The sequence below is a fragment of the Homo sapiens genome, chromosome 3 (genome assembly GCF_000001405.40).
Source record: "Homo sapiens chromosome 3, GRCh38.p14 Primary Assembly".
NCBI classification, from domain to species: Eukaryota; Metazoa; Chordata; class Mammalia; order Primates; family Hominidae; genus Homo; species Homo sapiens.
In genome coordinates, this window is record NC_000003.12 from 112606613 (window position 1) to 112622863 (window position 16251).

Below are 16251 nucleotides of genomic sequence, written 5' to 3' on the forward strand. Positions count from 1 at the left end.
ACGGATTTTACCATGTTGGCCAGGCTGGTTTCGAACTCCTGACCTCAAGTGTTCTGCCCACCTCGGCCTCCCAAAGTGCTAGGATTACAGACGTGAGCCACCATGCCCGGCTTCTCTGAGCCTTTTAGTGTATGTGTCTTTCAGCTTCTCTGAGCCTTTTAGTGTATGTCCTTATCTGTTGAAAGGGAATCAATGAGATATGACCTATGTGCCTCACAAAACTATTGTGAGAATTAAATGATATAAAATAGAAGAAAATGCTTTGTAAACCATAAGGACCTATACGGACCCCCAAAAAGCATTATTTTAGTTAAGAAAAATGGATATTTTTACTGTTACTTGGAATGGTTTATATTAGAAATAATATTAGTCCCTGTACTCCACACCCCTTCCCCTACATATCCCGTGCACACACAGGCACACATGCACAAATGCATGAAGTGGGAGGAGGATTCAATGAACTTTGTTCACCTTAGAGATACACCCACTGCTTGCATATAACTTAATGTAATTTAACTGAACTTAACACTAGTTCATACTGTTTCAAGATAACAACACATTACCATTAATTGGGAACAGTTCTAACACTCCCCCAACTTCCTCTCCAACGCCTAAAAGCTTCAGAATGGTTATGTGGCGCAGACCTGAGAGAAAAAAGAAAACCATAGGATTAGAGGAAAGGATTAGAAGTTATCTTTTACTTCAAAGCCCTGATATCTGACAATTAAAAATCTCTTAAATTTAAAAAGAATATAGAGCATAACCCGATTGAGAAGAATAATCCATTTTAAATTTTTACCATAAGGAAGAAAATACTTTCAAAACCTCAAAGAAGATGAACTGTGATTCTCATTCTACTAAATGACAAAAAAGAAAAGAAAAGATGAAGCCATGCTGGGCGCGGCGGCTCATGCCTGTAATCCCAGCACTTTGGGAGGCCGAGGTGGGCAGATCACGAGGTCAGGAGATAGAGACCACCCTGGCTAACATGGTGAAACCCCGTCTCTACTAACAATAAAAAAAATCAGCTGGGTGTGGTGGCACGTGCCTGTAGTCCCAGCTACTCGGGAGGGTGAGACAGGAGAATCACTTGAACCCGGGAGGCGGAGGTTGCAGTGAGCCGAGATCGCGCCACTGCACTCCAGCTTGGGTGACAGAGACTCGGTCTCAAAAAAAAGAAAAGATGAAGCAATTCATTGGAACATTAAAATATCTGAGCTGATCTAAGCTAGTTAGTGTTCTGAATTTATAACAGCTTTTAGGATAACTTAACTTTCAGAGAAAAGACTACAGACTCCATCAATTGTGATGGTTAAAGAAATTGAAATTGTTCTGCTTCCTCACACAAAACTGTAGTGGCTTAAAGGATATGTTTTTATCACTAATTTAGAGGATTAAAAGGGAAGACATTTAAGCAAGCACAGCTTGCCTTCATATCCTCTGCTAAAGTTTCAGGACAGGAGGGAAGGTCATGCCTTGGTAGCTTGTTGGAATTCTTTTGAAGATGAAGTGGATATGAAGAGATTCCAGAGAAAGAAAATAGGAGGACAAAGGGGCTGTCAAGCCATCATATCAAGCTTTCATAGTTTTAAATAAAGTCCCAACCTAGTCAGGATAATAACTTGGAACTAATAATAAGGTTGTTGGTGCTGTTTATTGTCCAGGAGAGAAAAGTGAACACTGCCATGGGAGGGTACTTCTAAGGAGAAGCTAAAATCTAGGCAAAATGCTATTCAAAAAAATTTTTTTTTCACCTTTACTCTTTTCCCAGAGAAGTGAACTATTCTGTTCTACATATTGGTTAGTCATGTTTTCAAAAGGGAAGATCATCAATTTAATTATTCATTAATTAATAAATGTGAACATGACTTGTTCGCATTTTGGGTATAGTACAAAAGAGTTTGCTTTCACAATGTGACATAGGATCTGTGTGCAGAGATTTAAAGATAAAGTACCACCAAATAGCTGCTACAAAAGCATCTTTGGAAAATTTAAAAACTGTGGCTTTATTTATATTTTTCTTGTAAAGGTTCTTAACTGCTGTAAGAATTTCTATCTTAACTGGCCACATTGGTGGCTATAAATAATTTAAAGTGTGCTTAAGAATACTAGCACAATCAAATTTATATGTTAATATAAAGTCTTAAATTATTAACCTTGATAATAGGAGTACAAATAAAAATTTCTGAATTTTCTATTGTTCTTACTATTATGAGTTTGGTTTTGGCCTTCCTTTGAGTTATTTCATATCTTAAAATTAAAATGTACTTATAATTTACACATACTAGGTCATAACAAGGACCTTGGCTCTGTTAATGCTTTACAAAACTTACCCTCCTCCCTTTTAAAAAACAAATCAAGCACAGTTTTGTAACTAGTAGATGATTCTTCCTCCTAATAGAGGCATCAAAATAATGGTGATTCATCTATGTTCTAATGGAGAATTTTTTAATTTGTTGCCCTTAGCTACTTCCCCCTGCCCCTGCCCCTGCCCAGTGAATCTCTCAAAATTCTTCTTCTGCAGAGGTATATCTCATATGAGATTTCACTCATGACTTCTACTTTTGAAATTGTAGTCATCTCCTTGATTTATCATTGAACTTAGTAGTAAGTTCTATATACTATTCATTTTACTGCCTATATATCCATATCCAAAATGACATTAGCTCTCTCAGGACACTAGAATAAAAATGTTTGGTAAATAAAGCATATATTCGTTTTCAAAATTCTGAGCGATTCACTACAAAAAACAGTAAACTATGTTTTTCTTTGGCCTGCTTGTCTTTAAAATAAGGTTTTATTTAAGAGATCTTGCTACTTTCTTAGTGCTCAGTTATAGATAAAAATCCTTTTTTAAAAAAAATTCTTTCACTAAGTCTTCTGAGTTTTGAAGATAAAAATCATTTTTAAGAGAAGGGCAATATAGTCTGCTTCAATTAATATATTATTCCCAGAGCCATTCCTATTTTAAAAAAGACATTTAATCTATGGAGTATCCAGTGATGGTATGTAAGTAGATATTCGAGTATTACCTAAGTGAATGGTAATACCTAAGTGAGACAATTTAAAAAAAAACTGAAGATAAATGATACAGATCATTAAAAGTAAATCAGAAGATATTTTCAAACACATGAATGAAGAAGAACTAGAGAGGAGAGAATATTGAGGGAAAAAAAAATCCACAGTTGACTAAAGCTCCAGTCTAAAAGCAACTTTATACTCAATATAGTAGAGTATGTGTCTGGAAACCTGAACAGTCTGAACTAGGAATCATTTTGAATGATCTAAGGTTCTATGTTCCATTTTAGAATTGACCAGGAGGAGAGTGGTATGGGAAAGCAGTAATGAGGTGGCTTCCCACTCACCAAAATTGCACGCCTGACCACTGAGGGCAGAGAGCTGCTGTGAATAGGCCCAGTCTTCATCGTTAGGAGCAGAGATCACCAGCAACCTCCTCCTCCACCGGAACCTGGAAAAAAAAAGCAGGACACCATTACTGCTTACTGCTTCAAACAATAAAAACCAATGTAGGAAACCAGAGTGACTTAGGCTAGCAATTTTTTTCTGTGCCCAGAAAAAAAAAAAGAAAAAAACAGAGAACTGTCCCATGCTTCTCAAAGCCATTAAACTGCATTGCTACACTCCTGTAGTTTTTCTGTTGTAACTTCACAGTCTTTCTGCTTTGGCATTTGCATGACGTGTCAAGCATGAGTCTGTGGTCACAATGCCTAATGAGGTCACTTGGGGAGAGACAAACTCTCAGATGCAATGAAGACAGGCCAAAATTGTACATTAAACTGTAGCAATGGAAATGAGAAACTCAGAGGACAACTGAAGAGAACTCGTCTTAGTGGAGTTACTGCTAGAGTTTAGAGGGGGTTAAGAAATGAATATACGGAAAGGAGATAGAGTAGAAAAAGATAACTGTATTTTAAGTAGATTACAGTGACAGGAAAAAGGAAAATGGGAGAGTGGTTTAAAGGTTCAAAGAGGATTCCTGGAAAAACGAAACCCTATGTACCTTCCTCAGTAGCCAGTGGTTCTTCCAGAGGCAAATGCAATTTCTAAAATGTACCCTATTATTAATAAGCGCCAATGCTTACAAAGTACTTCTATAAAGTGGAATGATATTAAGCCTAGAACCATAAGATTTTAGAATATATAGTAAACTTAGTTTCTGTTTTTACAGTTCCAACACAGTAGAGTAGCAGAAAAAGCTTTTGTCTTTTTGGGTGTCGTTGAGCATGTCACTCAATTCACCAAAGTCTCAGTTTTTCCTTATTTCTTTTCTTTTCTTTCTTTCTTTTTTTTTTTTTTTTTGAGACAGAGTCTCACTCTGTCACCAGGCTGGAGTACAGTGGCATGAACTCGGCTCACTGCAACCTCCACCTCCCAGGTTCAAGCGATTCTCCTGCCTCATCCTCCCGAGTAGCTGGGACTACAGGCGCGTGCCACCACACCCGGCTAATTTTTGGTATATTTAGTAGAGACGGGGTTTCACTGTGTTAGCCAGGATGGTCTCGATCTCCTGACCTGGTGATCTGCCCTCCTCGGCCTCCCAAAGTGCTGGGATTACAGGCGTGAGCCACTGCGCCCAGCCTTCCTTATTTCTAAAATCAAAAACAGCAGTATGTTGTTCACAGGAATGTTACAAAAATTAGACTCTCAAATCTATCAATGCAAGTTATCCACATGATAACATGGATATAGAGGATTATGTCTTAATCTGCAGGCTTCTGGGTGTAGAACTTTATCCATTAACAGACGTTGACATTATCCATCACGGCACCATCAAATAACCTATTCTTAGTCCTTAGGTTTGTGTATCATTTTATAGCTCACTTTCACCAACGCAATATGGTTCTTCATTAGAGCTCAGTGAGGCTGCGGATTATTTTCCCCATTATGCAGATAACAAAACAAGGCTTAGAGAAGTGAATAACTTGCCCAACTAGTAAATCTAAGAGGCATTACCAAAATACAGACACTTCTCTGACTCCAGGTCCAGCGGTTTCCCCGACCTACTACCCTCAGACACTGATATTTTGGCTGGTGCTATCAGGGTCTGCAAGAGGGTATAAAAAGAGAGAAGGTATGCATCTAAGGGGCAACTGTATAGCGTTGTCTCAACTTCCATCTTCACTGGTGTTTTGCTTTTTGCCTTCAGTGCAGGTGACCGCAGGGTGTTGGTGCACTCACAGAGCTGACAGCCAGTTAATTTTATTCATGGCTTTGATCCCTGTGCCCCTTCTAGCATCAGGAGTGAACATGAGAGTTTTCAACCCCAAAGAAAATGGCCTCTTGAGGGAATAGTGGTTTGGGTGAATAAGAGAAAATGATAGTTTGATGAAATACAACCTCTGAATGGATGCCTGCCGCAAGGCTCGCCAAGTATTGCTTGCTGTGACATTACATTCACTTCCTCTGCTTTTTTTTTTTTTTTTTTTTTAAAAAGGGAAAGAAAAACTAAAATCTCTACTGAGGACAGGGAGCTGAATGTGTCTGGCACAAAGGACAAGAAAGGAGCCTCTGAGACTGTCCAAGGTTTCTTAGGAAAGGGAACAGTAACTGCTGTCGGATCACAAACACAACAGTCTCAGGTACTTCTCCTGCTTCCTTAGGAGGCATGCCAGACCAGCGCTGGCCCCCTAGCCAGCATCCAAACCAGACTAGCCTTCCTGGCCTCACACAGAGCTGTAGGGTGTCTTGGAAGGAGCTATTTTGGGTGAGGTCTATTTTGGTTTGTTTACCTATGTGCACACTGAATGCAGTCCTGATTGGAGAGGGATGGGATGTCAGACTCCCTGTCCCAGACACAACTAAGAGAAGGTCATTTCCCCTAAGTCATGTTTCAGCTTCCCACAGACCTTCACATTAAGATACAAGGTTGCAGCTCATGACACGGAAGGAAACTTCCAAAAGATGTAACAAGAGTTATGAAACTGACCCAGACCCTTATTTTAGACAAATTGTTTTTCTGTCACTTTAGCTTCCCAGTAAATAAAAACTTTACAAGCTGTGAATGTGTTTGCTTCTCTTAACTGGCATGCCCAAATTAGTATGCATTTGCCCACTCTTTGGGGTTTCTGTCTCAGGGAAAGGTGATTATACCCTGAACCAAATGAGTGCTGTTGAAGACTAGACTGGCTTCAGGGTCTGGTCAGCTGAAACTAGCCTGTGTAAACCCATCAACCACTCAGCAAATTTGAAGGAAAATTCCCATTTGGATACTGGTTTAATTACAGGACTGTAATTTTTTTTTTTTTTTTTTTCATTTCTCTTTGCCTGGGTTTCAATTCTGGAGTATTTACTAAATCTCTTTCTGGTAGCTCTTCCTGGATGGCAAAGTTCTCTATAGGACCAGAATAACTGACCCTAGGACTACTAATAAGTAGCATTTATTGACTACTTGCTTTGTACTGGGTCCTGGGCCATCATTACCTTTAGTATTGAATGTACCCTTCACAACAATCTTAAACAAAAATACACTTACTATGTTCATTTTGCAAATGAGAAAACTGAAGCCCAGAGTGTTTAAGTAATTAGCTCAGGGTCACACAGCTAGTAAATAGAGGAACCTGGAATCAAACTCATTTTGTCTTGCTTGTGCCTTAAGTAGTACACTATTCCACTTTAATCCTTCAAATAAATTACAATTATTAGCAGAATGATTTTATGAGTTATGACTACAAATCAGGCACCGCTATGGGACATCCAAATTGTAATTATATATATCTCTGAATATCCATAAAAGATGTATATTCCTATAGTAGTAATGAAGATAAGAGCCCATAAAACTCTTACATTAGGTGGAAAATACATTTACATATGTTAGGACCCCATCTAGTACAAAAGACTTTATAATATTTGTACTTTCTTGAGAATAAAAAAAAATACAAAATTTAAGTAACCAACCTACAGGAGTATTATAAGCTTTTGTGAATGAAGAAAATTGAGATAATGTCAGCTTTCCCTTTCAAATTTTGAAACCCTTGACATAGTGGTTATAAAAAGACACTCTACCTAGGGATGGTGAGAAGAATCTCTGAGGATGTCTGTAGCTGCCAGTCTCACGACAGATCTCTGGTTTTAAGTAACATCAATGAACTGGATGATAACTGTCTGCTTTATAGGGTGGGCAACCTGAGTTTACTGGGATAGATCACTAACCCTGGAAGATTTAGAATTAAGAAGAAAAAGTTTCCAAAGAATCAAAATTATAGTAATATAGTAATAATTATATATATGTTTGTATATATCTATAATTCTGGTTATATATGTATATGTATATAAATATATTATTGTGAAGCTTAAGAGAATTTGGCCTAATAAAATGACAACTTGAAACTACAAATTAGAATGTGTAATTAAGTAATTGGTTTAGGCATGCAGGTAAGTTGAAATCTTACAGTGTATGCAGTTTTTAGAACATCTGAGAGAACGTTAGATTCACTGTATTTGTAAAATTAACTTATTAACTTACAGATCTTTAAGTACTAGGAAAGATTTTGTTTGTTTAATTTCAAATAATTGAAAGAAATGTATTAAATGTATAATGCCTACGTGAAATGATGAAGTTGTTTAATTACTGGGTTTATAAGCAAGATCAAACATTATTCAAAGCCCTCTTAAAAGTGATGGCAAAAATTTGCTAGGTTATAAATTGGAAAATAAAATTTCGAAGCCTAATTCAGAAGTTTGGGAACTGAGGTCTTGAATTTGTAACTTGAAGTATATTTATCACTGTTAAAATAAAAAATAAACTTCTAAAGAATTTTTACCTTAAAAAGAAAAAAGAAAAGCACCTCAAGAGCAAAAGAAAAGCTCTTAGCATAAATCTTTTCAATTATCGTCATCTGGAGTGATGATCTTGGATCAGAAGTTGGTGTTTTAATACCCCCGAGACCAGACAAAGAGCCATTGTCCCGTGAAGCTCAGAGCCCTTTCTCAGTGGAGGCTGCCCCTACGGCTGAGTTGATTTTAAGTCCTTATGAAGGTGTGTGCCTTCTGTTTCCATTACGGATACTTGTACTGCATTGAGAATTTGGATGAAGGAAGAGCCTTGGGTTCCTTTCAGGGCCGAAATTCTGTGGTTTTAAGAGTATCTTCCTTTGCTTCAAATTCTAGGCCTTTAGGTTCAGAACTAATAATAATTCACATTTTCTAAAGGAGCATAAGATAAGACGATAGATTTGGGGAGTCAGATTGTCCCAGGGTACTTCCTAGAGATGACACTAGCTCAGTGATGAGAGAAAGTTACTTAATCTCCATTGGCTTCAGTTGTCTCTCCTGCAACATGACAATAGTCACAGTATTTAGCTCATGGGATTCTTGTAAGGGTAAAACTAGGGAATGAAGGTGACGTGCTTGGCACAGAGATTAGCACACAAAAAGTGTTCACAGGTATAATGGCTATGTGAAATGGAGATGGATGGAGATAGAGCTGCTTGCTATCGTTTTTAATTTTATGGGTGAGAGATTTTTGAGGCAGGTTAATTGAAAAGGATCAACATAGCTAGTAAGTTACAGACTCAAAACTTGGATGAATGGTAAGTTCTGTACCCTTTATATATCATGATGTTACATCCCAGAAGACCCAAGCCTCACAAATCTGTAGAAATTCGGTTTATCCACTTACTAATCATATCCTTCTTAATGCTCTGTCTCACATATGGAGAATGTGCTTTTAGAGACATGAGTAAAGATTCTGCTTGGAGGCTCAAGCACTAAATGTGTATTACATGCTTGCTTGGTTTCTGGAACCCCTTAACCACACAGTATAGTTGGAGTGGTGTTGATACTGGGACCTCTGTAAGTTTGTTGTGTGTAGTTTTCTGCAGCTTTGCACCTCCTAGGGCCCCAAAGTCTCAGTAGAAGTTTCATCCTACATCGGGGGAGGGGAGGGGAAGGGAGAAAAGTGGATTTGGCAGAGGCGTTTAAACCAAAGCAACTCCATCTTAAATAGGAGCTGGGTAAAATGAGGCTAAAATCTACTGGGCTGCATTTCCAGACGATTAAGGCATTCTAAGTCACAGGATGAAAAAGGAAGTCAGTACAAAATACAGGTCATAAAGACCTTGCTGATAAAACAGTTTCCAGTAAAGGGGCCAGCCAAAATCCACCAAAATCAAAATGGCGATGAGAGTGACCTCTGGTCGTCCTCACTGCTACACTCCCACCACCACCATGACAGTTTACAAACGCCATGGCAACGTCAGGAAGTTACCCTATATGGTCTAAAAAGGAGAGGCACAAACAATCCACCCCTTGTTTAGCATATCATCAAGAAATAACCATAAAAATGGGCAAGCAGCAGCCCTCGGGGCTGCTCTGTCTATGGAGTAGCTGTTCTTCTATTCCTTTACTTTCTTAGTAAACTTGCTTTCACTTTGCACTGCAGATTTGTCCTGAATTCTTTCTTGCGCGAGATCCAAGAACCCTCTCTTGGAGTCTGGATTGGGACCCCTGTCCTGTAACAGATGGAGTTGTTTTTACACTCTTCTCTGGGTATGCTCCTCCCCCATGGACACTGGGGTTGCCACAAGATGGCCTTCAATAAACGACAGTGTCGAAAAATTCGTGAAACTGGGTCAAGAGGATTTCTCCTTTTGAGGTCTTAGTGGGGCTTTTGTTGTTTCCTGCAGAGTTGGAAGGAAGCGGAAAATCAAGCACAGTGTGCCAAATCCTGTTTGGAACCAGAAGGGGCCTAATAAATAAATATGTAAAATAAAAATGCTACATGCAGAGATCTCCAGATTTACTGACTGAGTAAATTAACTTTCTTGGGAGGTCAGGATTCTATATTCTGTACCAAAGAAAGAGAAAAAAAAAGAAAAGAAAAAAAAAAAAACAGAGAAAAGACCTATCCTGAGTCACCAAATCAACATTGATGCTTGGAGCTGCAGCCAGCCAGCCCTGTAGCCAGAGACATTTCAACAGGACAAGACTAAGCTCAGTGGCCAGAGATGGGTAGGTTTTTCTCCAAGGAGGATTACTCTCTGTAAACACCTGTGGGATCTGTGTTTCTTTGGCATTTTCATGAGCTCACTCAGAACAAATTTGCACCTTCCTCTTTAGCGACTCCAAAGGTGATGTACCTGGATAGGAAGTTCTCCAGGGACTGCTTTTTGTCCTCTTTGCAAACAATGCCCTCCTTCTTCTGCTTCTCCATATCTTTGATTCGGGACTGGAAAGTATCGATCAGATCAAACACAGACTTCATTGTTATTGGTACCTCATAGTATTGCTGTTTAAGAAAAAACAGAATGCATTTAATGTACAAGTGCATTTCTTCTCTCTATTCAGAGGATAGAGAACCTGTGAGAATTCAGAGGAGCTCTGGGGAAATCTTTGAAATCAGAGCCTAGAAGATTCATTGCTTCATAAATGCTCTCCTGCAATAGTACCCTTTGCTGATGTTTTGAGAGTTGGAGTCCATAAAACAACTGCCTCTTTTACAAGTAATTCTTAACTACGCTCCTTTTATTGGAAAGGGTCCATGCCTTCCTCACCATACAAGTCCTAGGTTCACCTCTCTACCTTTGGGACTAAGCTGGTTCTTATTTACTAACAACTGGAGAAGAACTGAGAAACACTGTACCTAACACAGGAAACTAAATGGAATAACATGTTCAAGTGTGTAACCTGAGCAATAAGAGTAGTTTTCCACCAAGGCCTGTTCTGTGGTCCCAGGGATTGTTTTACTGAGTAAACATCACTTAATATTAAGTCATTTTTGTTCACCTATTCTCAGAAATAAGTTGGGATCCAACTTAAAGACAATGAAATTCAGATTCCTGAATCACAGCTGCCTGGACTTACAAAAGCAACCTGAGATGGATTTAGGGGCTGGCTGAGCGTAATCAGCATAAACTGGAGAGCAGTCTGGACATGGCTCGAAGCTCTGCCCTCTGTGGGAATTCAGTAAATCACAGAATGTGAGAGCTGGTAAGGACCTTAGAGATTATCTGGCCCAACCTCTCTCATTAGAGATGAGACAACATGTGTGCAGAATTAACTAATGATGCCATTTCTCCAGATCCAGAAATATGTTGCATGTTGGGTCAGCTATTCTGATAGCATAGACAGCCTTTTTTTCCCGTGAAGATTCTCACACAAGCATGGTATATGAATGACTTTTTCATGAACATTTTTTGTGTTCCCCATTTCACATGGTTTCAGAAGCCTGGAATTTTAAAAGAACATTTTGATAAGTTGTTTTAAAAATTGTTTAGGGAATGCTTTAAAGAAGTATTAAGATAAACTTTAGTAAAATGTATTTTCAGTGATATAGTGCCAGTATGCCAAAATTGTTAAGACAGTGGGTTCGGGAGCCAGCCTCTGTGGGAATGAAGTTCAACACTAATTGCATGATGACCTTGGGCTAGTTACTTAACCATTCTGGGCCTCTGTTTTTTCCTCTGTGAAACAAAAATAATGTTAGCATTTATCTTAGACGTGTGAGACTAAGGATTGCAAAGGGTTGAAGAAAGTGCCAGGCATAAGGAAAGCACTTGATAAAGTGACTATTTTTGTTATTGTTATTATTACATGGTATAGTTTTTCATGGTTCAGAACTTTTGTCCGCAAGCATAGAAAGAAACTAGGTGTAAAACCCCAAACTTTTGGCAGGGCGTGGTGGCTCACGCCTGTAATCCCAGCACTTTGGGAGGCCGAGGCAGGCAGATCACGAGGTCAGGAGATCGAGACCATCCTTGCTAACACAGTGAAACCCCATCTCTACTAAAAATACAAAAATAAAATTAGCCGGGTGTGGTGGCGGGTGCTTACTGTAGTCCCAGCTACTCGGGAGGATGAGGCAGGAGAATGGCGTGAACCTGGGGGGTGGAGCTTGCAGTGAGCCGAGATCACGCCACTGCACTCCAGCCTGGGCAACAGGGTGAGACTCCGTCTCAAAATAATAAAAAAAAAACAACCCCAAACTCTTGTCCACATTGGATCAGGAGGCACACTTCTAGACCCCTCTGAGATAGGCCTATGTTAAATATGGGTTTCTTGAAGGCAGAGACCACTCTTCACCTTTTATCTCCAGGACCTCGCACATCATAGCTATTTAACTAGTGTCTTATGAATGTAAAACATTGTTGTTAGAAAAGAATTTAGTCTGAGTCAAGTAGCTGGGCTGTGGGAAGTCACTCCAACTCAGTCTTTGTCAGAGACCACATTTCTGGATGCAAATTCGTAGGACAACATGGAAAATTTGGCCCATCTCAAAACTTTCCCATTTATAAAATAATTTATGCTTACTCGTACATTGAATGGACTGTTTAACAAAACAATTCAGATTTGCTATTCTAAGAAATAGTACTACATTATTCAGAATAAGAAACTGTACCTTGACTCTCAGATCCACATCTGTTAGCACCATGAAGAAGTCATTGTAGGTCATTCCGTACTCTTTCCTCAGCTCGCTGATGAGACGCTGGTCTACCAAGTCTTCATCATCCACCACTCGCATGGGCTTCTCATTATCTTAAGGGAAATAAAATGTGAATGAATATGGGTGTGGCAAGGCAGAAATCATTGGGAGGTGAATGGGTGAAGGCTTTGGGCCTAATCACACCAGCCTTCATTAGTTTTATATATTCAACTCACGTTGTGTTTGAACAAAAGTTTTCGGAGTAAATTAATAAATATAGAAATAAACACATGAATAAAGTTTTGAAAGCTACTCTTCTATAGATGATCAAGGCTCCATCTCTGTCCATCCTGTTCACAGCAAACAGGAACAAAGGAACAAAGTGAGAGTGGAGACTGCTGAGTCATACCTAGGAGAAGACTGCAACTCACCCAGGGAGTGAGTCTTCACCCTAACTCACCGGGGAACTGGACCGACCCAGACAATTTGTTAAGTTCTGTTTCCATTAAACATAATTCTGAGTCTAAAACCTGTGTCTGTTCCTCTTTTTTGGTATAGAATTAACTTTGGGACCCAGTAAGCATGTCATATCTATAGAGAAAAATAGAGTTTCTGTTGAAACCTAGTCACAGTTTCATTTGGGCTCCAAAAGAAGTCAAGCTATTCATAATGCAAATTTTGTAAGTGAACACAGTTTAAAACAAAATGTGACAATTTATGGAAATTTTAAATCACTATATGTTTTTTCAATCATCAGCCTCCCCAAATAAATCCTTATAATTCAGAATGGTTCCAGAAGGTGTCACTGGATTAATGGGAAGCATGAAAATCAAGATACTAGTGGCTTTACATGGCAACTTGTATGTCAGGAAAGCATTTTAACATTTTCAAGGACAGAAGAGCTTTATTTACTTCTTCCCGCTAAAACAAGTCACAGTATATCTCTCAACCCTACCTAAGATTTTATCTGCAAAATAATCCCCTATATTAAAAACAAATGTGAAAAAATTAATGTTAGCAAATATATGATAACAGGAAAATTACCAATGAGAGCCTATCACTTATTACCAACATCACTACCCAGTGACTAACACTGTACTACAATACTATATCACAGTAAAAACAACCACAATTTTGCAAATAAGATGTTATAATTTGAGTACCACAGACATTACTCTTCATTAATAAAAAGGGGATGATTACAATTTAACTGTTACTTTTATTTGATTAGGATTGCTGAAAGTGTATAAAGAAGGAGCTTTATTTCTCCAAAGCAAATCAAAATGAGAGGGGAAAGAATCAATCTGTTTTCCTCCCCAAAGTCATAACAGTGCTTCATGGAGGTGGTCCAAAGGAAAAGGAGCTGAGAGCCTAGATGAGAACCAAGCACTGTCTGCAACATAAAAAGTGATAGGCCTCATGCATATAAACTATTTTTCAAATGTACATTTTTGTTATTAGAAAAAATTTAAATTAATTTACAATTATTAGATTTATATTTTTAAATATATCTTGTTGAGTATTAAAAACAAGTTGCAAAACAAAATGCATAATATGACTTTATTCCTGGTTGTAAGGAAATAAAAACAAAAGAAGATACATTCATTTGGAAATACACATAGGAAAAAGTCCACAGGAAAAGGTGAAGTGAAAACTTTTATTGTTTACTCTGCATACCTATGTTATTCAAATTTTAACAAGGAACATATTTTACTTTGTGAATAGTAATACTAATAATAAAGAAAATCATTCAAAAACTGCTTTTTAAAAAATGTTCTTAACTAATGTTCTGATTCTAAGACTTTACAAACCAGATTTTATCTTGTATTTGGAAATTACAATTTTTAATTCCCAACATACATTCATTCTTGCTTTTGTTCATTCAACGAAATATTTATCACTAATGTCCAGAATTGGTTCTGTGCTGAGTGCTAGATTCAGAAATCAATAACTTGGACAGAGTTCAAGCTCCTACTTAGAACCAGAATTAGACCACTAGCATCTACTTAATGGACAAAGTCACAAAATCACTGAATGGCTCAGATGGAAGGAAGTTGGAGATTGTAGTAGATTTTTAATATAACACCAATTCTTCCCCCCTCCCTATAGCTATACCCTATACCTATGCCCAGTAACTACAGCTTCTTCCTATGGGAAATGGGTTGAGCTGTCCTGCCTCTTGACTCTGAGCGCATCTATATCACTTGCTTTGGCCAATGGGATATTAGCACAATGACACAAGCAGAAGCTAGAAATGGGCTTATACATTAGGGATTGTTCTTGCTTCTGCCATTGCCATGAGAATATGCCCACACCAGCTTGCTGGAGGTTTAGTCAAGCCAAGTTACCCTGTTCTCATTCTAACCAAGGCTACCCAGGTTAGCTGACAGCCCACTGACCCCCAGCATGCGTGCAAGCCCAGCCAAGATCAGCAGAACCTCCTACCCAACCTGTAGCTGACTGCAGATGCATGAGCAAACCTAACCAAGCCCAGCCCAGATCAGCTGAACCCTAGAAACTTGTCACTAAATGAATGCTTACTGTATGTGCCACTAAGGTTTGTGGTCTTTGTTACCTCACCTTATTATGGCAATAGAAAACTGAATATAGACATTATCTGGCTCCACACCATCACATTATTAAGGTTGAAACTAAGGAAACTGTAGTGGACACTGTGGTGTGCTGTCCAGTTGCTACCTTCACAACTAAGGTTGCTGTCAATATAAGCAGCTAGATCTCTGACAATTGATCTACTTAGAAGGGAGCCACCTTTCCCCAAGTCACACCCCTACCATAGGACAGCTCACATTCAATGGTTGATGTAGTAAAAGAGGGGATAGATATAAAAGCTATCCCCTTTGTCTCAAAGTGGACAGTTTGGAAGGTCCAACTCTATTGCAGCTCAAATTTTCCCTGTCCAGTCTTGTATCTCTCACCCCTCATAAGTATTGTTTCTGTGTTAACTGCCTGCAGGCAAAACTCAGAGTCTCAGACTCTGTCTCTCAGAAAACCCAATCTGTCACAGACCCTGAGAGGAGGAGTGACTTGCTCAAGTTCACATTGCAGGTTAATGATAGAGTGAGGTTAGGACTCAGGTGACATTACCTCACTCCCACCCAGTGTTCTCTCTGCTATGCCAAAATGCCTCACACTCAAGGGTAGAAAGGACCCAGGACCAAGATTAAAGGCAAACTTTGCTTTACTAGTATATGGCAAGAAACCAATTTCAAAGCCGGTTTTCTTTCAACCAAAATATTTTCTGAAATATTTCAACCAAACATTAGAAATAAAACATTTTGCACTCCCAGATTATAGGAATATCTACATGTTTGTGCTGAGTAGGAGAATCTGCCAAAGCAAAACAATGAAAGTCCTAATCAACACTGCATCAGACTAGGGTGGTGGCAACTCTACAGAAGGACAGAGTCCACTCTAGGCCAGTATGTGTGAAGCTACATCCTGTCTCAGCTCCTGCTCCTGCCACCGGTCTTTCTTGAGCTCTGCATTCTATCTAAATCAGGGCTCAGTGTTGAGGTTCTCTTTAGTCTGGAAAAGCAACATAGACTTGGCAGGTTCTTGTTAAATTTATCCAAACTCTGTTTAAGCTCACTAATGATTGTAAGGATTACAGGGCTTAGAAAGAAAAATTCTTTTTTTAAAAAAAATTATTATTATTATTTTTGAGATGGAGTCTTGCTCTGTCACCCAGGCAGGAGTGCAGTGGTGCAATCTTGGCTCATTGCAACCTCTGCCTCTGCGGTTCAAGTGATCCTTCCACCTCAGCCTCCTGAGTAGCTGGGATTACAGGCATGCACCACCATGCCCAGCTAATTTTTTTTTTTTTTTTTTTTTTTTTGTATTTTTAGTAGAGA

At 38.8% G+C, this 16251-nt stretch overlaps 1 protein-coding gene across 3 annotated transcripts in view; it reads right to left on the reverse strand.

The window, feature by feature from the left end:
- Positions 1-16251, reverse strand: part of CCDC80 (coiled-coil domain containing 80) — a 44347-nt gene that overhangs the window by 9816 nt on the left and 18280 nt on the right. For all 3 annotated transcript variants that reach the window (NM_199512.3, NM_199511.3, XM_047447495.1), the window contains 4 exons: positions 12356-12492; positions 10098-10246; positions 3366-3469; positions 564-644 (listed from right to left, as the gene is read on the reverse strand). In NM_199512.3, the coding sequence (NP_955806.1) occupies positions 564-644; positions 3366-3469; positions 10098-10246; positions 12356-12492 (471 nt within the window). The remainder of the gene's footprint in view (positions 1-563; positions 645-3365; positions 3470-10097; positions 10247-12355; positions 12493-16251) is intronic.